Source organism: Homo sapiens, chromosome 6, assembly GCF_000001405.40.
Source record: "Homo sapiens chromosome 6, GRCh38.p14 Primary Assembly".
NCBI classification, from domain to species: domain Eukaryota; kingdom Metazoa; phylum Chordata; class Mammalia; order Primates; family Hominidae; genus Homo; species Homo sapiens.
Genome location: NC_000006.12, coordinates 82,091,989 through 82,117,236, shown reverse-complemented (window position 1 = coordinate 82,117,236; position 25,248 = coordinate 82,091,989). Strand labels below are relative to the sequence as shown.

The 25,248-nt window shown below is 38.3% G+C and overlaps 2 long non-coding RNA genes across 2 annotated transcripts in view; one reads left to right on the top strand and one right to left on the bottom strand.

Annotated features, from left to right (window-relative positions):
* Positions 1-1,761: 1,761 nt before the first annotated feature.
* LOC107986617 (uncharacterized) overlaps positions 1,762-25,248 on the bottom strand; it is a 97,872-nt gene continuing 74,385 nt past the window's right edge. Inside the window, exon 4 of the long non-coding RNA XR_001744231.2 lies at positions 1,762-3,780. This is a non-coding gene — a long non-coding RNA (uncharacterized LOC107986617). The remainder of the gene's footprint in view (positions 3,781-25,248) is intronic.
* Positions 15,472-25,248, top strand: part of LINC02542 (long intergenic non-protein coding RNA 2542) — a 257,985-nt gene continuing 248,208 nt past the window's right edge. The window contains exon 1 of the long non-coding RNA NR_149135.1: positions 15,472-15,677. This is a non-coding gene — a long non-coding RNA (long intergenic non-protein coding RNA 2542). The remainder of the gene's footprint in view (positions 15,678-25,248) is intronic.

The window sequence follows — 25,248 nt, the reverse complement described above, 5'->3', positions numbered from 1 at the left end:
TGAACAGTCTTAGTAATTCAGGAGATCTATAAGCTAAACCACCAGGAGATCTCAGAACTCAAGACCATGGTTTCTGACAAACACAATCCCTGGGTATTTGGCTGCCCTTCATGAGCAGCAAATAGGTGGGGGTTTCCAGAGCCTACTCTCCTGGACTCTGTGCCACAAGCTTGAATCCGATACTAGTCAAGGATTTGTGATTCTTTATTTTGGTTTGTGCAGCTGAACTTCTGATCATACTTGATTAATACTTGACTCTTCTTCTATCAGAATGAGACTAAGAAGAATGCCTTGTTCCCTTTGTGCAGGTTTTTAAAACTCCCAATTAAAAAAAACTGGAAAAAAAACCCCAAAAAACAAACAAACAAAAAATCCTCCCAATTCCTGTCTAGGGCTATGTGAATCTCCAAAAGGATTTTAAAAATAAGGGACCTGTGTTATGATTCCTTCTTATATGAAGACCCAGGATCAGAGTAGAGCCTGGGAATACACGAATTAATCTAAAACCACACTGTATTCCAGGAGTCTTTGATGATGGAGGGACATAATGTGTAACTCCTAGCCTCAAAATCTCCAGGCCCAGTTCATCTTATTCATGTATTATAACTCAGACATTTGGAAAACCACTTGAGTCATGCTCAATCATGCAAACCTGTGATATAGCTAGAAAACAAATCAGATTCTCTGATTTTTACTCCTAAATGTCAGCCTTCCTTCCTACAAGCCTAGAATCTTTAGCTTGGAACTACTTTAAATCAGCTCTAGGATACCTTCAGCTTATTCTTAGTGATTCTAATATCAACACTTTCACTTTCCATATCCTGAAAACATACGTATTCAATGAAAAATTAATACAGATTCTTGAACATGCTAATTATATGCCTAACTTTCCTCCAGTTTGCACCAGACTATCTAAACCTTACATAACCTGAGATCTCCAAATAAGTGCTTTGAAAGCTTTACAATTTAGCAGTGCGTCCTTGGCTTTTAGGCGTGTCAGTGGAAGAATGACCATGTAAAGAAGGAATCTACACTGATGATTACAGTGATGCTGAAGAGGAACCCATTATAGTGTTATCTATAATCCTCTGACTGTGATGTTCTGCATGGGATAACCTCAGCAATCAGAGCCAGGAAAATCTAAATTTGGAGAGAGACATCATTTGGCCCTGTGGATCTAAATTGCACAAGCTGGGGTCTCTGGGGATCGCCCCGCATGGAAAGGGACTTGGGAGAAGACACTAGGACAAGAGTGTGTACCCCCACCTGAAAAGAAAAAGATTCATTTGCTATTCTTACACTTAGAAACTTCTGGGTCAAGAGCATGTGATTTAAGGCATCAAATGGTTCTGAGATTAATTTTTGATTCCATCTCTTACTAGCTTTGTGCCATTGGCCATGCACTCTACCTCTCAACAACTTAGTTTTCCTATCTGCCAGTGGGACAATTAATAAATAACAGCTACTCTTGAGGCGATGTGTTGAGGATTTACTAAGACTTAATGAGATTAAAGATGCCCATTACATAGTTTGTACCCAATAAGCCTTCATTTCTTCATCTCCCTCATCTAGGATTAGAAATTTCTAGAAGGCAGGTTCTGTGTCTTATTCCTCTTTGTACCTCCATCTCCTAGTACAGTAGTTTTCAACCTTTCCTGTCTATTTAGCCTCACTGCATTGAACAAAATTCCCAGGCTTGCAGTTCTGCACATAGATTAAAAATAACCTACAGTGTAATTGATACTCAGTAAGTGCTTTCAATTCTTGGAAAACTGTTTCTGCCATTTATTGATGCTACAATACAACACATTACATTCTTGTTTTTTTGCTTTTGCTGCCGGAAAGTTAAATTCAGTTTTGCACTCAGCTGCTGAAGATTTCCTTAGTTTAGGTTGTCTGGTACTAGTATCTTCTACCAGGTTTATTATTCAGCACTATAAATAATTCCCATTTTTATTTTGGTTTTGCGGTTTTATTGAATTTCCATTGTTTACTGTATGTCACCTCCAGAATCATTTTTGGAAATATTTAGTGCATAAAAACTTTAAAAAAGTGAGTATAGCTCTTTACGTATCCTTTGCTCCTGCCAAACTGGGGTTGACCTTCTTTATGCTTTCACTCAAAGTGTCCTCTTTGCTTGAAATGCCTTTCCTTCTATGACCTCAGTGGTCGAAATCCCTGAAACCTTCACAGCCCAGTACTAATGCCCTGTTCTTTAGGAAGCTTGCTCTGAATTTCCTTCAATGTTTCAATGAGGACTAGTTCAAAGAATACCTTTGAACTCACTTTGGCATGACAAGATCAAACAGGAGGTTAAGTCTGTCATTTAGTATTGTGAAATGAATCATTTTCAGGAACTTTTACCAGGAGTTGTGAGCTACTAGAAAACACCATAAGTTCTAGGTCTCAACTGAGGAAGCAGAGGCAAACAGTAGGGACAAAGAAGAAAAAGAATGGGCGCCTGGAAAATAGACGTGGACTTGAATCATGGCTCTTTTACGTATCGTGTGTGACTCTGGTCAGTTTCCAGGAGGTTCCTCATTTACAGAGATGAGTGTGTCAATTAGAGACTGTGTTGGGCTCAAATGATCAGAATGACACCTGCTGAAACACACAGGGCTTTTTTCTTTTGCCCTGACACCCTTAGTTCAGCTACTCTTCCTCATGATTGTAAGATGGCTCCTCTATTTCCCAACACGGTGTCTTCAGGAAAGGAGGAAAAGGATGAAGGGAAAGAGGCACGGGCTGGCCACATTTACTCCCTTTAAACAACGTTTTCCAGGAACCCACCCTATCACACACCGCTTACATCTTAAATCGCAACTGTGTCACATGGACATCTGGAGTTACAAGTAAAGCCAGAAAATGGTGGTGGTGGTGTGTGTTTAACCTGAACACAACTGCTTCCCCTAAAGTAAGAAAGAAGGGGAGAATGGGTACTGTATAGTAGTGTCTACTACAGTGAGAGTGATGTGCTCCCTTGAGGACATGGAAGCAGCACAGAACCCAGAACGCTCTGGATTTTACTTGTCAGCCTCCTGGGTTAGTCTGTAACTCAATTTCCTTCTGTATTTCGCCATTTCTTCTTACATTGTGACTTTATAAATTGAAGGGCCAGGCAATATCACTATTTCAAATCACTTCTCCTTTCCCATAAATGATGATTACTCAATTCATGTTTGATATTCTCAAATTGTGATAGAGCAGTATCAAGTAGCATTATATAGTTTTATTATTTTATGAAGATTTTGTTTTTCCTTTTGATAAGATGTATTTATGTTAAGCAATAAGGAAACTACTGATTTGTAAGGCAGGACAAAACACTGCTTAATTGTAAGATGTAAGTCTCAGTCAGCACAGGCTGGAGTGAATTTGCTCAGTGACTCCGGTATTTTCACATTGTCAGTTTTGCCTGGAAGTAGATGAAACCGTCTCTTAGGTTGGAGATTTTGCGGATGGCCATTCAGCCTTGGTGAAAAAGAAGTTTGGGCACCATTATTAGGAGAAAAAAACATCCAGTGGTCAACTCGGACTCCTCTTTCCTGCTTCCTCTAAGAATTTCTCCTTCTACCCTGATGCTCCATCTTTTGGCCTCAGATGAAGAAAACACCATATCAAGCACACCTCTCTGCCCTCCGCAAAGTGAATCCAAGGGAATTTTAAGGGAATGGGAAATTACATAGAGAAGATGATCGTGTTCAGGATCTCTGGACTGCAGAGCTGGAAAAGGCTTGTCAGAAACCACGATGGTTGACTCTGTAGTGACCTCTGCCTATAAACCTGCAATAAAGAGAAAACTGTTGTCTGAACCACAGTCATTCACCCACTTCAAATTGTATTGTGTTAGTTTTAGTTTAACCATAGTTTTGGTGGTGATGGTTTCCCAAAGTTATTTCTAGCTCTAACTGATAGTATTTATGGTTAGAACAATCAGACCTACTCTATCCTCACTGATTTTCCTTCAGGCATCATTATAGGATTAACAGTAAATTCCTCTAAAAAGATTACACTTACAAGGGAGAAGGGGAAGGAAGGAAAGCATGCACCACATCACATTCTATTCTGAATCGTCTCCTTGGGGAAATCTTAATTCTAATTTAGAATGTGATAGTCTGACTTCTGTAGTCTATGAATAAAAATCAGTTATTTAATATGAAGCTAATTAGAATTTGAAAATGGAAAATAAAGTCTATTTTCAAACAAGCTTGACTTTGACTAGGTACTAATGTCTAATAAGCCATTAAGAAAATGTTTTTTTCATAGTTACACTGAGGCCTGAGCAGGAAGTAAACAACAAAATCAAAGTGGAGGATAGTTCCACTTGAGTTTCTTTTCTGAGCGCCTCATTTATTCATTCACTCAGAATAATTCACTCCACAAACATTCCTGAGTACTCAGACCTCAAGGTGACAATCCTTGTTGCTAGCTCTTCTGTAACTCTGAAATGGAAGGTGATGGGCCTCAGGGGTGTGATGTCCATCTTATCACTAGAGTGGCTGTCCTGGGGTTTCAGTAGCCACTGATGAGAATCATTTTCACACAGCCTGTTTTCAACAGTAAATTACAAGTGAATGTGATATTATGCCTTCTTTCTAAAGACTGCTGCCAGAATCTATGAAACTCAAAGTGAGAAATTGTAGAAAACCACTCTTTATCACAGCTCCAAACTTTTGCATCTAATTGTTAATAATGCTTTCCTTTGCCAAGTGACTTTTACATGTCACTTCAAGAATGTCTGGCTCTCAACACAATAGTGTTCCTTTATTTCTTTTTTTTATGAATACCTAGTATTAGTGGGGTACATGTGATATTTTGTTACATGCACAGAATGTGTAACGATTAAGTCAGGGTATTCAGGGTATCTATCACCTCAAGCATTTATCATTACTATGTGTTGGAAACATTTCAAGAGCTCTCTTCTACCTGTTTTGAAATATACACTACATTGTTGTCAACTATAGTCTGTGACTATAGTTATCTGTAAACACTAGAATGTATTCCTTTTATCTAACTGTATTTGGCACACATTAACCAACCTCTCTTCATCCCTCCCACCCACTCTAGCAACCCTTCCCAGGTTTTGGTAACTATCATTCTACTCTCTACTTCCATGAGATCAGTTTTTTTTAGCTTCTTCATATATATGTGTGAGAACATGTGATATCTGTCTTTCTGTGCCTGGCTTATTTCACTCAACATAATGACTTCCAGTCCCATCCACATTACTGCAAATGACAGGATTTCATTCCTTTTTTATGACTGAAAAGTATTTCATTGTGTATATATGTCACATTTCTTTATTCATTCATCTGTTGATGGGCACTTAGGTTGATTTCATATCATTGCTATATGAGTAGTGCTGAAATAAACATGTGGGAGCATTATCCCTTTGATATTCTAATTTTTCTGTCCTTTGGATAAATACTCATTAGTGGGATTGCTGGATCATATGGTAATTCTATTTTTAGTTTTCTGATAAATCTCCATTCTCCATACTGTTTTCCATAATGGCTGGACTAATTTACATTCTCACCAACAGTGTATAAGATTTCTTTTTCTCCTCATCCTCCCCAGTACAGTTTTTTTTTGTCTTTTTGATATTAGCCATTCTAACCGTATTAAGATGATATCTCATTGTGGTTTTGATTTGCATTTCTCTGATGATTAATGATATTGAGCATTTTTTCACGTATTTGTTGACCATTTGTAGGTCTTTTTTTGAGAAATGTCTCTTCATGTCCTTTGCCAGCTTTTTAATGGGGTTGTTTTTCTACTGTTGTGTTATTTGAGTTCCTTGTATATTCTAGATATTAGCCCTTTGTCATATAACTAGTTTGCAAGTATTTTCTCTCATTCAACAGGTTGTCTCTTCACTCTGCTGTTTCCTTTGCTATGCAGAAGCTCTTTAGTTTAATATAGTCTCAATTGTCTACATATAGTTTGCAAATATTTTCTCTCATTCAACAAGTTGTCTCTTTACTCTGCTGTTTCCTTTGCTGCACAGAAGCTTTTTAGTTTAATATAGTCTCAATTGTCTGTTTTTGTTTTTGTTCCCTGTGGTTTTGAGGGAGGTTTTAGCCATAAAGTCATCACCTAGACTAATGTCTTGAAGTGTTTCCCCTGTTATCTTCTAATAGTTTTATAGTTTCAAATCTTACATTGAAGTAAGAATTTACAAGGTCCCATCAAAAAAAAAAAAAAAAAAAAGGAAAGAAAGAAAACAACAGGCCAATATCCCTGATGAAGATAGGCACAAAAAATCCTGAACAAAATACTAGCAAATTGAATCCAGCAGCACATATACATACATGATCAAGTGGGATTTATCCTAGGGATGTAAGGATGGTTCAATATACACAAATCAACAAACATGATACATCACATGAACACAATAAAGGACAAAAATATGATGATCTCAATAGATTGATTTAAAATTCATGTGAAGTTGATTTTTTTATATAGTGAGAGATAGGAGTCCAGTTTTGTTCTTCTGCATATGGAAATTCAATTTTTCCAGCATCATTTATTGAAGAGTTGTCCTTTCCCCAGTGTATGCCCTTGGCCTCTTTTTTGAAAACTAGACATTGTAAATAGATGGATGTGTTTCTGGATTCTCTAGTCAGTTCCATTGGTCTACATGTCTGTTTTTATATGATTTTCATGCTGTTTTGGTTACTATAGCCTTGTAATATATTTTGAAGTCTGTTAATGTGATACCTCCAGCTTTCTATTTTTTTGCTCAGGATTGCTTTGGTTATGTAGGCTAATTTTAGGATTGTGAAGAATGTCATTGGTATTTAAATAGGGATTGCTTTGAATCTGTAGATTGCATAGGTAGTATGGTCATTTTAACAATATTATTATTCTGATCCATAAGCATAAGATGATTTTCCATATGTTTGTGTCCTCTTTAATTGTTGACATCAGTATTTTATAGTTTTCCTTGTAGAGGTGTTTTACCTCCTTGGTTAAATCTATTCCTAGGTATTTTATTTTTTGTAGCTATTGTAAATAGGATTGCCTCTTTAATTTTTTTCATATAGTTCAATATTGGTGTATAGAGATGCTATTGATTTTTTAATGTTGATTTAGTATCCTAAAACTTCATTGAGTTTGTTGGTCAGATCTCAGGGTTTTTGCTGGGGTCTTTAGGTTTTTCTAAATCTAAGTTCATATCATCAGGAAAGAATGACAATTTGACTTCCTCTTTTCCAATTTGGAAATAAAAGAAAATGCCTTTTATTTTGTTCTCTTGCCTTATTGCTCTGGCTAGGACCTCTATATTATGTTGAATAGGAGTGGTGAGAGTGGATATCCTTGTCTTGTTCCACTTCTTAAGGGAAATGTTTTCAGCTTTTTCTCATTCAATATGTTAGCTCTGTGTTTGTCATATATGACCTTTATTATGTTGAGGTATGGTCCCTCTATGCGTAGTTTGTTGAGAGCCTTCATCATGAAGGAATGTTAAACTTTATCAAATGCTTTTTCAGCATCTGTTGATATTATGATATAATTTTTGTCCTTCATTGTGTTGATGTGATGTATCACATTTATAGATTTGTGTATGTTGAACCGTCCTCATATCCTTAAGATAAATCCTACTTCATTGTGTATGTGTATGTACTGTTGGATTCAGTTGGATAGTATTTTGTTGATAATTTTTGTGCCTCAATTCATCAAGGACATTGGCCTGTAGTTTTCATTTTTTTGTTGGGTCCTTGTCTGGTTTTGGTATCAGGGTAATGTTGGCCTTATAGAATGAGTTAGGGAGAATCCTTCCTTCTCAATTTTTTTTTTTTTTTTTGGAATAGTGTAGGAGAATTGGTATTAGTTCTCCTTTATAAGTTTGGTAGAATTTGGCGGTAAGGCCATCTGATCCTGGGCTTTCCTTTCTTGGGAGACTTTTTATTTCTGATTCAATCTCTTACTCATTATTGGTCTGTGCAGGTATTCTGTTTCTTCCTGATTTAATCTTGGTAGGTTGTATTTGTCCAAAAATGTATCCGTTTCCTCTAGGTTTTCCAGTTTGTTAGAGCGTAGTTGTTCAGTTGTTCATGGTAGCCTCCGATAATCTTTTGTATTTCTGTGGTATCTGTTGTAATGTACACTTTTTGTTTCTAATTTTTATCTGTCTCATTTCTCTTTTTTTGCTTGGTTAGTTTAGCTAGTGGTTTATCAATTTTTTTTCTTTTTTGCAACCCCTATCCATTTTTACCTATTCAAAAAACTAACTTTTTATTTTGTTGATCCTTTGTCTTGTTTTTATAGTCTCTATTTTATTTAGCTGGGCTCTGATTTGTATTATTGCTTTCTTCTAATTTATGGCTTGGTTTGTTCTTGCTTTTCTATTTCCTAGAGGTGCATTATTACATTGTTTATTTGAAATCTTTCTACTTCTTTGATGTAGGCATTTATTGCTATACACTTCCTTCTTAGCACTGCTTTTGCTGTATCCCATATGTTTCGGTGTGTTGTGTTTCCATTTTTATTTGTTTCAAGAAATTTTTTTCTTTGGTTATTCCTCCATTGACCCAATGGTTGGAGCTTGTTGTTTAATTTTCATGTATTTGTATAGCTTTCAAAGTTCCTCTTGTTACTCTGGTTTTATTCCATTGCAGACTGAGAAGATACTTGATATGATTTCAATTTTTATAAATTTGCTGAGACTTTTGTTTCCTAACATATGGTCTATTTTGGAGAATGTTCCATGTGGTGACAATAGGAATGTGTGTTTTGTAGCTCTTGGATGAAATGTTCTGTAAATGTCTATTAGGTCCATTTGGTTTAAAGTGCAGTTTAAATATAAGGTTATTTGTTGATTTTTTTTTTTTTTTGTCTAGATGATCTGTCTAATCATGAGAAGGGGATGCTGAAGCCCCCAGCTATTATTATGTATTGGAGCCCATCACTCTCTTTAGATCTAGTAATATTTACTTTAAATATCTAGGTGTTCCAGTATTGGGTGCATATATATTTAGAATAGTTATATCCTCCTGCTGAAGTGATCCCTTTATTCCTATATAATGACCTACTGTTTTTTACTTAAAGTCTGTTTTATCTGATATAAATATCACTACTCTTGCTCTTTTTTGATCTTTACTTGTGTGGAATCTTTCCATGCCTTTACTTCAGTCTATATGTGACTTTGGGCAAAATAAATTTCCTGTAGGCAGCATATAGCTGGATCATTAAAAAGAAATTTATTCAGCCTGTCTATATCTTTTAATTGAAAAATTTAATTGGTTTATATTCAAGGTTATTATTGGTACATGAGGACTTATTCATGTCATTTTGTTAATTGTTTTCTGGTTGTTTCATATATCCTTTCTTCTTTTCTTTCTTATTGTTTATTATTACTGTTTGGTGGTTTTCCGTTTCTTGTAGTGGTGACATTTGTGTCTTGTTGTTCCTCATTTGCATATTTGCTCTATCAGTGAGTTTTATACTTTTGTGCATTTTCATGATGGCAGATATTTTTCTTCTGCTTCCAGGTGTAGGACTCCCTTAAGCATTTCTTGTAGGACTGGTCTAGTGGTGATCAGTATCCTCAGTTTTGCTTTTCTGGGAAATACTATATTTTTTATTTATTTATGTAGAATAACTTTGCTGAATGTAGTTTTCTTGTCTGGCAGGATTTCCCCCACCCAGCACTTTGAATATATCATTTAATTCTCTCCTGGCTTGTAAAGTTTTTTCTGAGAAATCCATTATTACTCTGATGGGAGTTACCTTGTATGTGACTAGATGCTTTTCTCTTGCTGTTTTTAGAATTATTTCTTTGACTTTTGACAGTTTGACTATAACGCCCCTTGGAGAAGACATTTTTAGGTTGTATCTGTTTAGGAATCTCTGAGCTTCCTATATTTGGATATATAAATCTCTTGTTAGACTTGGGAAGTTTTTAACTATTAATTTGTTGAAAGATTTTTTTTTTATTATACTTTAAGTTTTAGGGTACATGTGCACATTGTGCAGGTTAGTTACATATGTATACATGTGCCATGCTGGTGTGCTGCACCCACTAACTCGTCATCTAGCATTAGGTATATCTCCCAGTGCTATCCCTCCCCCCTCCCCCCACCCCACAGCAGTCCCCAGAGTGTGATATTCCCCTTCCTGTGTCCATGTGATTTCATTGTTCAATTCCCACCTATGAGTGAGAATATGAGGTGTTTGCTTTTTTGTTCTTGTGATAGTTTACTGAGAATGATGGTTTCCAATTTCATCCATGTCCCTACAAAGGACATGAACTCATCATTTTTTATGGCTGCATAGTATTCCATGGTGTATATGTGCCACATTTTCTTAATCCAGTCTATCATTGTTGGACATTTGGGTTGGTTCCAAGTCTTTGCTATTGTGAATACTGCTGCAGTAAACATATGTGTGCATGTGTCTTTATAGCAGCACGATTTATAGTCCTTTGGGTATATACCCAGTAATGGGATGGCTGGGTCAAATGGTATTTCCAGTTCTAGATCCCTGAGGAATCGCCACAGTGACTTCCACAATGGTTGAACTAGTTTACAGTCCCACCAACAGTGTAAAAGTGTTCCTATTTCTCCACATCCTCTCCAGCGCCTGTTGTTTCCTGACTTTTTAATGATTGCCATTCTAACTGGTGTGAGATGGTATCTCATTGTGGTTTTGATTTGGATTTCTCTGATGGCCAGTGATGGTGAGCATTTTCTCATGTGTTTTTTGGCTGCATAAATGTCTTCTTTTGAGAAGTGTCTGTTCATGTCCTTCGCCCACTTTTTGATGGGGTTGTTTGTTTTTTTCTTGTAAATTTGTTTGGGTTCATTGTAGATTCTGGATACTAGCCCTTTGTCAGATGAGTAGGTTGCAAAAATTTTCTCCCATTTTGTAGGTTGCCTGTTCAGTCTGATGGTAGTTTCTTTTGCTGTGCAGAAGCTCTTTAGTTTAATGAGATCCCATTTGTCAATTTTGGCTTTTGTTGCCATTGCTTTTGGTGTTTTAGACATGAAGTCCTTGCCCATGCCTATGTCCTGAATGGTAATGCCTAGGTTTTCTTCTAGGGTTTTTATGTTTTTAGGTCTAAAATTTAAGTCTTTAATCCATCTTGAATTGATTTTTGTATAAGGTGTAAGGAAGGGATCCAGTTTCAGCTTTCTACATATGGCTAGCCAGTTTTCCCGGCACCATTTATTAAATAGGGAATCCTTTCCCCATTGCTTGTTTTTCTCCAGTTTGTCAAATATCAGATAGCTGTAGATATGCGGCGTTATTTCTGAGGGCTCTGTTCTGTTCCATTGATCTATATCTCTGTTTTGGTACCAGTACCATGCTGTTTTGGTTACTGTAGCCTTGTAGTATAGTTTGAAGTCAGGTAGTGTGATGCCTCCAGCTTTGTTCTTTTGGCTTAGGATTGACTTGGTGATGCGGGCTCTTTTTTGGTTCAATATGAACCTTAAGGTAGTTTTTTCCAATTCTGTGAAGAAAGTCATTGGTAGCTTGATGGGGATGGCATTGAATCTATAAATTAGCTTGGGCAGTATGGCCATTTTCATGATATTGATTCTTCCTACCCATGAGCGTGGGATGTTCTTCCATTTGTTTATATCCTCTTTTATTTCCTTGAGCAGTGGTTTGTAGTTCTCCTTGAAGAGGTCCTTCACGTCCCTTGTAAGTTGGATTCCTAGGTATTTTATTCTCTTTGAAGCAATTGTGAATTGGATTTCACTCATGATTTGGCTCTCTGTTTGTCTGTTATTGGTGTATAAGAATGCTTGTGATTTTTTTACATTGATTTTGTATCCTGAGACTTTGCTGAAGTTGCTTATCAGCTTAAGGAGATTTTGGGCTGGGACAATGGGGTTTTCTAGATATACAATCATGTCGTCTGCAAACAGGGACAATTTGACTTCCTCTTTTCCTAATTGAATACCCTTTATTTCCTTCTCCTGCCTAATTGCCCTGGCCAGAACTTCCAACACTGTGTTGAATAGGAGTGGTGAGAGAGGGCATCCCTGTCTTGTGCCAGTTTTCAAAGGGAATGCTTCCAGTTTTTGCCCATTCAGTATGATATTGGCTGTGGCTTTGTCATAGATAGCTCTTATTATTTTGAGATACGTCCCATCAATACCTAATTTATTGAGAGTTTTTAGCACGAAGGGCTGTTGAATTTTGTCAAAGGCTTTTTCTGCATCTATTGAGATAATCATGTGGTTTTTGTCTTTGGCTCTGTTTATATGCTGGATTACATTTATTGATTTGCGTATATTGAACCAGCCTTGCATCCCAGGGATGAAGCCCACTTGATCATGATGGATAAGCTTTTTGATGTGCTGCTGGATTCGTTTTGCCAGTATTTTATTGAGGATTTTTGCATCAATGTTCATCAAGGATACTGGTCTAAAATTCTCTTTTTTGGTTGTGTCTCTGCCCGGCTTTGGTATCAGAATGATGGTGGCCTCATAAAATGAGTTAGGGAGGATTCCCTCTTTTTCTATTGATTGGAATAGTTTCAGAAGGAATGGTACCAGTTCCTCCTTGTACCTCTGGTAGAATTCGTCTGTGAATCCGTCTGGTCCTGGACTCTTTTTGGTTGGTAAGCTATTGATTATTGCCACAATTTCAGATCCTGTTATTGGTCTATTCAGAGATTCAACTTCTTCCTGGTTTAGTCTTGGGAGAGTGTATGTGTCGAGGTATTTAACCATTTCTTCTAGATTTTCTAGTTTATTTGCATAGAGGTGTTTGTAGTATTCTCTGATGGTAGTTTGTATTTCTGTGGGATTGGTGGTGATATCCCCTTTATCATTTTTTATTGTGTCTATTTGATTCTTCTCTCTTTTTTTCTTTATTAGTCTTGCTAGCGGTCTATCAATTTTGTTGATCCTTTCAAAAAACCAGCTCCTGGATTCATTAATTTTTTGAAGGGTTTTTTTGTGTCTCTATTTCCTTCAGTTCTGCTCTGATTTTAGTTATTTCTTGCCTTCTGCTAGCTTTTGAATGTGTTTGCTCTTGCTTTTCTAGTTCTTTTAATTGTGATGTTAGGGTGTCAATTTTGGATCTTTCCTGCTTTCTCTTGTGGGCATTTAGTGCTATAAATTCCCTCTACACACTGCTTTGAATGCGTCCCAGAGATTCTGGTATGTTGTGTCTTTGTTCTCGTTGGTTTCAAAGAACATCTTTATTTCTGCCTGCATTTTATTATGTACCCAGTAGTCATTCAGGAGCAGGTTGTTCAGTTTCCATGTAGTTGAGTCGTTTTGAGTGAGATTCTTAATCCTGAGTTCTAGTTTGATTGCACTGTGGTCTGAGAGATAGTTTGTTATAATCTCTGTTCTTTTACATTTGCTGAGGAGAGCTTTACTTCCAAGTATGTGGTCAATTTTGGAATAGGCGTGGTGTGGTGCTGAAAAAAATGTATATTCTGTTGATTTGGGGTGGAGAGTTCTGTAGATGTCTATTAGGTCCGCTTGGTGCAGAGCTGAGTTCAATTTCTGGGTATCCTTGTTGACTTTCTGTCTCGTTGATCTGTCTAATGTTGACAGTGGGGTGTTAAAGTCTCCCATTATTAAGGTGTGGGAGCCTAAGTCTCTTTGTAGGTCACTCAGGACTTGCTTTATGAATCTGGGTGCATATATATTTAGGATAGTTAGCTCTTCTTGTTGAATTGATCCCTTTACCATTATGTAATGGCCTTCTTTGTCTCTTTTGATCTTTGTTGGTTTAAATTCTGTTTTATCAGAGACTAAGATTGCAACCCCTGCCTTTTTTTGTTTTCCATTTGCTTGGTAGATCTTCCTCCATCCTTTTATTTTGAGCCTATGTGTGTCTCTGCAAGTGAGATGGGTTTCCTGAATACAGCACACTGATGGGTCTTGACTCTTTATCCAATTTGCCAGTCTGTGTCTTTTAATTGGAGCATTTAGTCCATTTACATTTAAAGGTAATATTGTTATGTGTGAATTTGATCCTGTCATTTTGATGTTAGCTGGTTATTTTGCTCGTTAGTTGATGCAGTTTCTTCCTAGTCTCGATGGTCTTTATATTTTGGCATGATTTTGCAGTGGGTGGTACCGGTTGTTCCTTTCCATGTTTAGCGCTTCCTTCAGGAGGTCTTTTAGGGCAGGCCTGGTGGTGACAAAATCTCTCAGCATTTGCTTGTCTGTAAAGTATTTTATTTCTCCTTCGCTTATGAAGCTTAGTTTGGCTGGATATGAAATTGTGGGTTGAAAATTCTTCTCTTCAAGAATGTTGAATATCGGCCCCCACTCTCTTCAGGCTTGTAGGGTTTCTGCCGAGAGATCCGCTGTTAGTCTGATGGGCTTCCCTTTGAGGGTAACCCGACCTTTCTTTCTGGCTGCCCTTAACATGTTTTCCTTCATTTCAACTTTGGTGAATCTGACAATTATGTGGCTTGGAGTTGCTCTTCTCGAGGAGTATCTTTGTGGCGTTCTCTGTATTTCCTGAATCTGAATGTTGGCCTGCCTTGCTAGATTGGGGAAGTTCTCCTGGATAATATCCTGCAGAGTGTTTTCCAACTTGGTTCCATTCTCCGCATCACTTTCAGGTACACCAATCAGACGTAGATTTGGTCTTTTCACATAGTCCCATATTTCTTGGAGGCTTTGCTCATTTCTTTTGATTCTTTTTTCCCTAAACTTCCCTTCTCGCTTCATTTCATTCATTTCATCTTCCATTGCTGATACCCTTTCTTCCAGTTGATTGCATCGGCTCCTGAGGCTTCTGCATTCTTCATGTAGTTCTTGAGCCTTGGTTTTCAGCTCCATCAGCTCCTTTAAGCACTTCTTTGTATTGGTTATTCTAGTTATACATTCTTCTAAATTTTTTTCAAAGTTTTCAACTTGTTTGCCTTTGGTTTGAATGTCCTCCTGTAGCTCAGAGTAATTTGATCGTCTGAAGCCTTCTCCTCTTAGCTCGTCAAAGTCATTCTCCATCCAGCTTTGTTCTGTTGCTGGTGAGGAACTGCGTTCCTTTGGAGGAGGAGAGGCGCTCTGCTTTTTAGAGTTTCCAGTTTTTCTGTTCTGTTTTTTCCCCATCTTTGTAGTTTTATCTACTTTTGGTTTTTGACGATGGTGATGTACAGATGGGTTTTTGGTGTGGATGTCCTTTCTGTTTGTTAGTTTTCCTTCTAACAGACAGGACCCTCAGCTGCAGGTCTGTTGGAATACACTGCCCTGTGAGGTGTCAGTGTGCCCCTGCTGGGGGGTGCCTCCCAGTTAGGCTGCTGGGGGGTCAGGGGTCAGGGACTCACTTGAGGAGGCAGTCTGCCCGTTCTCAGATCTCGAGCTGCGTGCTGGGAGAACCACTGCTCTCTTCAAAGCTGTCAGACAGGGACATTTAAGTCTGCAGAGGTTACTGCTGTCTTTTTGTTGTCTGTGCCCTGCCCCCAGAGGTGGAGCCTACAGAGGCAGGCAGGCCTCCTTGAGCTGTGGTGGGCTCCACCCATTTGGAGCTTCCCAGCTGCTTTGTTTACCTAAGCAAGCCTGGGCAATGGCGGGCGCCCCTCCCCCAGCCTCGCTGCCGCCTTGCAGTTTGATCTCAGACTGCTGTGCTAGCAATCAGCGAGACTCCGTGGACGTAGGACCCTCTGAGCCAGGTGCGGGATATTATCTCATGGTGTGCCGTTTTTTAAGCCAGTCGGAAAAGCACAGTATTCGGGTAGGAGTGACCCGATTTTCCAGGTGCGTCACCCCTTTCTGTGACTTGGAAAGGGAACTCCCTGACCCCTTGCGCTTCCCAAGTGAGGCAATGCCTCGCCCTGCTTCGGCTCGCACATGGTGCACGCACCCACTGACCTGCGCCCACTTTCTGGCACTCCCTAGTGAGATGAACCCGGTACCTCAGATGGAAATGCAGAAATCACCAGTCTTCTGCGTCGCTCATGCTGGGAGCTGTAGACCGGAGCTGTTTCTATTCGGCCATCTTGGCTCCTCCCCCCGAAAGATTTTCTTTTTATTTAACCTTTATTTTATGTTCAAGGGTACATGTGTAGATTTGTTATATAGGTAAACTTGTGTCATGGGGGTTTGTTGTAAGATTATTTTGTCACCCAGGTATTAAACGTAGTACTCATTACTTATTTTTCCTGATCTTCTCCTACCTCTCACCCTGCACTCTCAAGGAAACCCTAGTATCTATTGTTTCCCTTTGTGTATCCATGTGTTCTCATCATTTAGCTCGCACTTATAAGTGAGAACATGCAGTATTTGGTTTTCTGTGCCTGAGTTAGTTTGCTAAGGATAATGGCCTCCAACTCCATCCATGTTGCTGCAAAGAACATGATCTCATTCTTTTTATGGCTGCATAGTATTCCATGGTGTATATGTACAACATTTTCTTTATCCAGTCTATCAGTGATGGGCATTTAGGTTGATTCCATGTCTTTGCTATTGTGAATGGTGCTGCAGTGAACATAGGCATGCATGTGTCTTTATAATAGAATGATTTGTATTACCTTGGGTATGTACCCAGTAATGGAATTGCTGGGTCAAATGGCATTTCTGTCTTTAGGTCTTTGAGAAATTGCCACACTGTCTTCCACAATGGTTAAACTAATTTACACTCCCACTAACAGTATATAAGTGTTCCTTCTTCTCCACAATCTTACCAGCATCTGTTACTTTTTTGACTTTTTACTAATAGCCATTCTGACTGGTATGAGATGGTATCTCAATGTGCTTTTGATTTGAATTTCTCTAGTGATTAGTGATGTTGAGCTTTTTTAAAAAATATCATTATTGGCTGCATGCACATCTTCTTTTGAAAAGTGACTGTTCCTGTCTTTTGTCCACTTTTTAATGAAGTTCTTTTTTTTTTTTTTTTGCTTGTAAATTTGTTTAAGTTCCTTATAGATGTTCCTTTAGTTCCTTTGTCAGATGCATAGTTTGTGGAAAATTTCTCCCATTCTGTAGGTTGTCTGTTTATTTCATTGATGTTTTATTTATTTATTTATTTGGCTGAGCAGAATCTCTAAAATTTAATTAGACCCCATTTATTCATTTTTGCTTTTGTTGCAATTGCTTTTGGTGCCTTTGTCATGAAATCTTTGCCCATTCTTATGCCCAGAATGATATTGCCTAGGTTGTCTTCCAGGGTTTTTATAGTTTTGGGTTTTACACTTAAGCCTTTAATTCATCTTGAGTTAATTTTTGTACATGGTGTAAGGAAGGGGTCCAGTTTCAATCTTCTGCATATGGCTAGCCAATTATCCCAGCACCATTTATTGAATAGAGAATTCTTTTACCATTGCTTCTTTTTGTCAGATCTGTCAAAGATCAGATAGTTGTAGGTATGTGGCCTTATTTCTGGCTTCTCTATTCTGTTCCATTGGTCTGTGTGTCTGTTTTTGTATCAGTACCATGCTGTTTTGATTACTGTAGCCTTGTAGTACAGTTTGACATTGGGTAGCATGATACCTCTAGCTTTTTTCCTTTTGCTTAGAATTGCCTTGGCTATTTGTGCTCTTTTTTGGTTCCATATGAATTTTAAAAGTTTTCTCTAGTTCTGTGAAGAATTTCAATGGTAGTTTAATAGGAATAGCATTGAATCTATAAATTGCTTTGGAGACTATAGCCACTTTAACAATATCAAGTCCTCCAATCCATTAGCATGGAATGTATTTCCATGTGTTTGTGTCATCCCTTATTTCTTTGTACAGTGTTTTGTACTTCTCTTTGTAGAGATATTTCATTTCCCTGGTTAGCTGTATTATTAGGTATTTTACTTTATTTTTTGTTGCAATCGTGAATGAGGTTGCATTCCTAAGTTGGCTCTCAGCTTGACTGTTGGTGTATAGGAATATTTTTGTGATTTTTGCACATTATTTTTTATCCTGAGACTTTGCTCAACTTATTTATCAACTTAAGGAGCTTTTGGACTGAGATTATGGGGTTTTCTAGATATAGGATCATGTTGTCTGCCAACAGGGATAGTTTGACTTCCTCTCTTTTTATTTGGATTCCCTTTATTTCTTTCTCTTGTCTGATTGCCCTGGACAGGATTTCCAAGGCCATTTAGAATAGGAGTGGTGAGAGAGGGCATCCTTTTCTTGTGCAGGTTTTCAAGGGGAATGCTTCCAGCTTTTGCCCTTTCAGTATGATGTTGGCTCTGGTTTTGTCATAGATGGCTATTATTATTTTGAAGTATGTTCCTTCAATACCTAGTGTGCTGAAAGTTTTTCATAATGAAGGAGTGTTGAATTTTATCAAAAGCCTTTTCTGTATCTATTAAGATAATCATGTGGTATTGGTCTTTGGTTCTGTTGATGTGATGAATCACATTTATTGATTTGTGTATGTTGAACCAACCTGATATCCCAGGAATAAAGCCTATTTGATTGTGGCAGATATACTTTTTGATGTGCTGTGGGATTTGGTTTGTCAGTATTTCATTGAGGATTTTTACATTGATGTTCATCAAGTATATTGGCTTGAAGTGTTCCTTATTCATTGTGTCTCTGCCAGGTTTTGCTATCAGGGTAAGTTGGCCTCAGAGATTTAGTTAGGGAGGAGTCCCTCTTCCTCAGTTTTTTTGGGAATAGTTTCAGCAGAAATGGTATCAGCTCTTCTTTGCACATCTGGTAGAAAATTCAGCTGTGGATCCACCTGGTCCTTGGCTTTTTTTGGTTGGTAGGATATTTATTACTGACTCATTTTTGGAGCTCATTATTGGTCTGTTCAGGGGTTCAATTTCTTCCTGATTCAGTCTTGGGAGGGTGTAGCTTTGCGTTGCAGTTTCCTGGAACTGGGGCATGGGGCAGCACAAAGAAGCACCTAATGAATAACACACCTACAAGGAGAAGGGAAGGACATTTCTCTCTGAGAGCTAGTGATGAATCTAAGCTATTCGCCCCAAGCCTGCTCAGAGTAGGGCCATTCCAAGAGAGAGAAAAAAAGAAGCAATAAAATGTTAAGAGTAAAAAAGGGAGAGTCAGAGGGTACTCTGTAGGGACACACATGCATCCCTGATCATGCCAAGTGTCCATCCTCTGCAACAGGGCTCCATTAATGCCTGAACCTATAACCCTCTGAGTAAAGTGACAGTGGCAAAAAGGGGAAGTTATGGGCTCTCTTTTAAAGCCAACTGCCATTTTCTCCCTTTTTACACCATATCTCCTTGATTAACCCTATGACTGCTAACCTAAATCTCTTCCGGTAGGACAGAGATCTATTCTCATATGTTGGCAACTGTTTCTTTCCTGCACAACTCATTTCAAAGTTCACCTCATCAGTAAGTAGTCAATGTTATTCTCACTCTACTATTGTACTGATTGTCATTATCTCCTAGTCTCTTGGAACTTGCGTAAGTTAACAAAAGTAGAGAGAGAATGAACCCCCAGGTGGCTGTGTTATCACACCTTCAGGGATTGTGCTTTGTGTGTTATAAGTAGTCAGTAAATATTGAACCATCACAACAAATATGATTCATAGAAAGAAAAGTGACTCACCTGACATAACACGAAGAGAATTATTCATAAAAATAGACCAGAGATCTTAGTTCCAAACAATCTTCAACAGTACCTAGTTATGTGTTTTATTATTATTATTGCTTTCTTTCATTCTTTTATCTTTTTAAAGTCTAAAGTATCTCCTTACTGAGACATAAATGTCAACACCAATTTTATCTAGAAAATTTGCACTATGGTGCTTATTTATCTCTTTATTCTTTCTTTTGCTTTTTTTTTTTTTTTTTTTTTTAGAGGGAGTTTCACTCTTTTCCCCCAGGCTGGAGTGCAATGGCACAATCTTGGCTCACTGCAACCTCCATCTCTTGGGCTTAAGTGGTTCTCCTGCCTCAGCCTCCCAAGTAGCTGGGATTACAGGCGCCTGCTACCACGCCCGGCTAATTTTGTATTTTAGTAGAGATGGGGTTTCACCATGTTGGCCATTGGCTGGGCTGATCTCAAATTCCTAACCTCAGGTGATCCACCTGCCTCGACCTCCCAAAGTGCTGGGATTACAGGCATGAGCCACTGCGCTTGGCCTCTCTTTATTCTTTAGCATTTAAAATCTAAAATTCTTAGAGTAGTTTCTAATCAAATGCATGTTTGTGGGAGGAATTATTGCATCAGCACGAATAAGAAGGTTAAAAAGAGGGCTGATATGGAGGCCCTGTTTTCTTTCTCTGCAATGTGGAGGCAGTAAGCTCTACCATTCAATGTTGTTCAAGGCTAGAATGAAATATTATACCTGAAGGTGTTTCTCAAACTGTGAAAAACTAAGGAAATATGTTACCACTACAGAGAAAAATTTTATTAGTCTATTATTCCCAGTCATACTTTAAAAATATACTGCAATGTATTGTTCAAGGAAAGTATCTGATACTGTGAATTCCAAGCATTGTTTCTTAACCTGTTCAAAATTAAGCAAAATGTGAGTATATACCAAAGAATACTTTACTTTTCCATAATTTCCATATTTGAAAAAGCTGCAAAAATTTATGGAAGACTGGGCTACATGCTGAGTTTTATGCTAAAATGTATGATAAAAACAATAAATGGGCCAGGCGTAGTGGCTCACACCTGTAATCCTAGCACTTTGGGATGCTGAGGTGGGCAGATCACCTGAGGTCAGGAGTTTGAGACCAGCCGGGCCAACGTGGTGAAACCCCATCTCTACTAAAAATACAAAAATTAGCCAGGCGTGGTGGCAGGCACCTCTAATCTCAGCTACTCGGGAGGCTGAGGCAGGAGAATTGCTTGAACCTGGGAGGCGGAGGTTGCAGTGAGCCGAGATCACATCATTGCACTCCAGCCTGGGCAACAAGAGTGAAACTCCGTCTCAAAAAAAAAAAAAGTAATAAATATAAAACATTTGTCAGATCACACACTATTCAGATAGAAATTAAGATGTTCATTCTTAAAAGTAAGAGTTAACATAGATTAATAAAACACCTCTACTTACCTCAATTTTGGTATGCTAGTTTAATGACTTGTAATCATCATTAATATTTATGCAGTTTTATGTAGTTGGTTTTTTGAATCATTTAAACCAAATAGGGGTATACCATATTTTATATTATTCCAAATGCCCTCTAACCTGTTATGTATAATATTCCTTTCCCATCCCTTAATAACATTTGTCTAGAATACTTTATTTCCTGTCATTTTCAGTTATTTAAAAACTCAATCTGGTCCAATATGAAATGTAAACTTCTAATTTCAAATTCAATTCAAATTTTGTCTCCTTATTCCCACCTATGCATTCCCATCCTGTGGTAGCTCATCTCCAAAGCTGGCCCTCAATGGATCATTCCCTTCTATGTCCCCTTCTGCATCGAATCTGCACTTGGCCTGTGACTCATTAAACAATAGAATGCAGTGGAAAGGATCCTGAGCTGGTTCTGTGCCTAAGTCATTAGAAGGCCTAGAAGCTTCTTCTTTTGTGATTTTGGAAACATTGAGCCACCATTTAAGAAATCTGGCATGTCCACATATCATATAGAGAGACCACATGGAGAGGGAGAAACCCTGAGCTTTCAAGGAGAGACAGAGAGAGACCCCGTTATTCCAAAGTACCAGCTCAGCCCCATCTTCCAGCTCTCTCTACCAAGGGACCAGCTATGTATCTTGGGTATGAGAGCTTAGTCAAGCCAGATGATTGCAGCTGCAGCGAATTTCACATGGAGCAGAAGAATTACCCAGCTGATTCCAGTCAACCTTCATACCCGTGAAAGAAAAGCCACTACTTTTTGGGGTAGTTTATTATGTAGCAGTAGATAACTGGAACATTTCCCCTAATATGGTTAGGCTTTGTGTCCCCACCCAAATCTTATCTAGAATTTTAATCCCCATAAACCCCACGTGTCAAGGCAGAGACCAGGTGAAGGTAATTGAATCATGGGGTCGGTTTTCCCCATGTTGTTCTTGTGATAGTGAGTGAATTCTCACGAGATCTGATGGTTTTCTAAGAGGCTCTTCCTCTTTCACTTGGCACTTCTCTTTCCTGCCCCCTTGTGAAGAAACTGCCTTGCTTTCTTTTCACCTTCCACCGTGATTGTAAGTTTTCTGAGGCCTCCACAGCTATGCTGAACTGTGAGTCAATTAAACCTTTTTCCTTTATAAATTACCCAGTCTCAGGGGTATGAAAACGGACAGTATTAAAATGGATTAATACATCCCCTTTCCTTTTTTATCTGGCCTGGGGACAAAATTTTTTTTTCTCTCTCTTCCTCTTCTGCTTTTAGCTTTTTGTATTGGAGACTGGTAAGAGGAATGAGGGAATAGAAGCAAAGTATTTTTTTCTGAACTGGTCCTGCCTCAGATGATGTCCTAGAGTTGACTTGTATCAGCTGATTATTAAAGTTACAGAAATTTTATGTGCCAATTGTTAAATGTTATTATTAAAACCAAATTATATCAAATTATATTGAAAACAGGCAATAAATGCTAACAACGTGTCACTTCCTAATTATTTTACTGTCTTACTATTATCTATTCTTTTATGGTTATTTAGGTGTATCACACTTTTATATGGTGGAAATACTTTTGTAACTATATGCTGTTGCTTATGTCTTCCAACTCCAATCAGTCATATCCCACTGATAGCTTAAAATCACACATGGTCGGTGTGTTTATACAATGGAAATAAGCAAACATTACGTATCAGTGCTTTTTCCCCTCTGCATTGATTTCTGGTTGTCAAACGTTTACTAGCAAACCACTGCCTACAGTTCTCTGTTGTATATATTTGTATCATCTTTGACCCATCCTGGCTGGTGAATGCAGTCTGTGTGGTAAACATGAAAATGTTAGCTGTCTTAAGGGGATCATCCATGAGATTTTTGAGGGTATCCTTTGAGACACCCTCAACATCACAGCTCCTAATAGGAGAAGCTCCTGCTCTACCTCCTCATCTTTACCTGGAGAAGAAAACCTCTCAGCCTCTTGCTACTAGGTCCCTTTGCCAGTGGCTAGCCCTCATTTGTGTAGCATTGGCAAAACAGACCAAGCCCCATCTCTCTTTAAGTCCACTTGACTCATCAAATAAAGTTAGGCCTGAAAATGAAAGGATATGATTATTTGGATAACGAGTTTACTGTTAGTCAAAGTAATACTGTCCCAATTGGGTTCCCCAGCAAGAAAATTCTGAGTTGGAGCTAGTGTACAGAAAGTATATTAAAGTGGGGGTTACAGAGGAAGAAAATTGGGCAGAAGGAGAAGTTGGGCTGAGGGGCAGTCACAACAAAGCCTCTACCTACACTGTGGCAGCTCTAAAACTAGAATGGCCTTTTAGAGTTGTCCTGATTTGGGGTGAGAAATCCAGGCTTTTACAGTGCATTAAGTGGTCTTTTTTTTATTATTATACTTTAAGTTTTAGGGTACGTGTGCACAATGTGCAGGTTAGTTACATATGTATACATGTGACATGCTGGTGTGCTGCACCCACTAACTCGTCATCTAGCATTAGGTATATCTTCCAATGCTATCCCTCCCCCCTCCCCCCACCCCACAACAGTCCCCAGAGTGTGATGTTCCCCTTCCTGTGTCCATGTGTTCTCATTGTTCAATTCCCACCTATGAGTGAGAATATGCGGTGTTTGATTTTGTGTTCTTGCGATAGTTTACTGAGAATGATGGTTTCCAATTTCATCCATGTCCCTACAAAGGACATGAACTCATCATTTTTTATGGCTGCATAGTATTCCATGGTGTATATGTGCCACATTTTCTTAATCCAGTCTATCATTGTTGGACATTTGGGTTGGTTCCAAGTCTTTGCTATTGTGAATAGTGCCACAGTAAACATATGTGTGCATGTATCTTTATAGCACCATGATTTATATTCCTTTGGGTATATACCCAGTAATGGGATGGCTGGGTCAAATGGTATTTCTAGTTCTAGATCCCTGAGGAATCGCCACACTGACTTCCACAATGGTTGAACTAGTTTACAGTCCCACCAACAGTGTAAAAGTGTTCCTATTTCTCCACATCTTCTCCAGCACCTGTTGTTTCCTGACTTTTTAATGATTGCCATTCTAACTGGTGTGAGATGGTATCTCATTGTGGTTTTGATTTGCATTTCTCTGATGGCCAGTGATGGTGAACATTTTTTCATGTGTTTTTTGGCTGCATAAATGTCTTCTTTTGAGAAGTGTCTATTCATATCCTTCACCCACTTTTTGATGGGCTTGTTTGTTTTTTTCTTGTAAATTTGTTTGGGTTCATTGTAGAGTTTGGATATTAGCCCTTTGTCAGATGAGTAGGTTGTGAAAATTTTCTCCCATTTTGTGGGTTGCCTGTTCACTCTGATGGTAGTTTCTTTTGCTGTGCAGAAGCTCTTTAGTTTAATGAGATCCCATTTGTCAATTTTGTCTTTTGTTGCCATTGCTTTTGGTGTTTTAGACATGAAGTCCTTGCCCATGCCTATGTCCTGAATGGTAATGCCTAGGTTTTCTTCTAGGGCTTTTATGGTTTTAGGTCTAACATTTAAGTCTTTACTTCATCTTGAACTGATTTTTGTATAAGGTGTAAGGAAGGGATCCAGTTTCAGCTTTCTACCTATGGCTAGCCAGTTTTCCCAGCACCATTTATTAAATAGGGAATCCTTTCCCCATTGCTTGTTTTTCTCAGGTTTGTCAAAGATCAGATAGTTGTAGATATGCGGCGTTATTTCTGAGGGCTCTGTTCTGTTCCATTGATCTATATCTCTGTTTTGGTACCAGTACCATGCTGTTTTGGTTACTGTAGCCTTGTAGTATAGTTTGAAGTCAGGTAGTGTGATGCCTCCAGCTTTGTTCTTTTGGCTTAGGATTGACTTGGTGATGCAGGCTCTTTTTTGGTTCCATATGAACTTTAAAGTAGTTTTTTCCAATTCTGTGAAGAAAGTCATTGGTAGCTTGATGGGGATGGCAATGAATCTATAAATTACCATTTGCAGATGACATGATTGTATATCTAGAAAACCCCATTGTCTCAGCCCAAAATCTCCTTAAGCTGATAAGCAACTTCAGCAAAGTCTCAGGATACAAAATCAGTGTACAAAAATCACAAGCATTCTTATACACCAGTAACAGACAAACAGAGAGTCAAATCATGAGTGAACTCCCATTCACAATTGCTTCAAAGAGAATAAAATACCTAGGAATCCACCTTACAAGGGACGTGAAGGACCTCTTCAAGGAGAACTACAAACCACTGCTCAATGAAATAAAAGAGGATACAAACAAATGGAAGAACATTCCATGCTCATGGGTAGGAAGAATCAATATCGTGAAAATGGCCATACTGCCTAAGTGGTCTTTATATGTGGT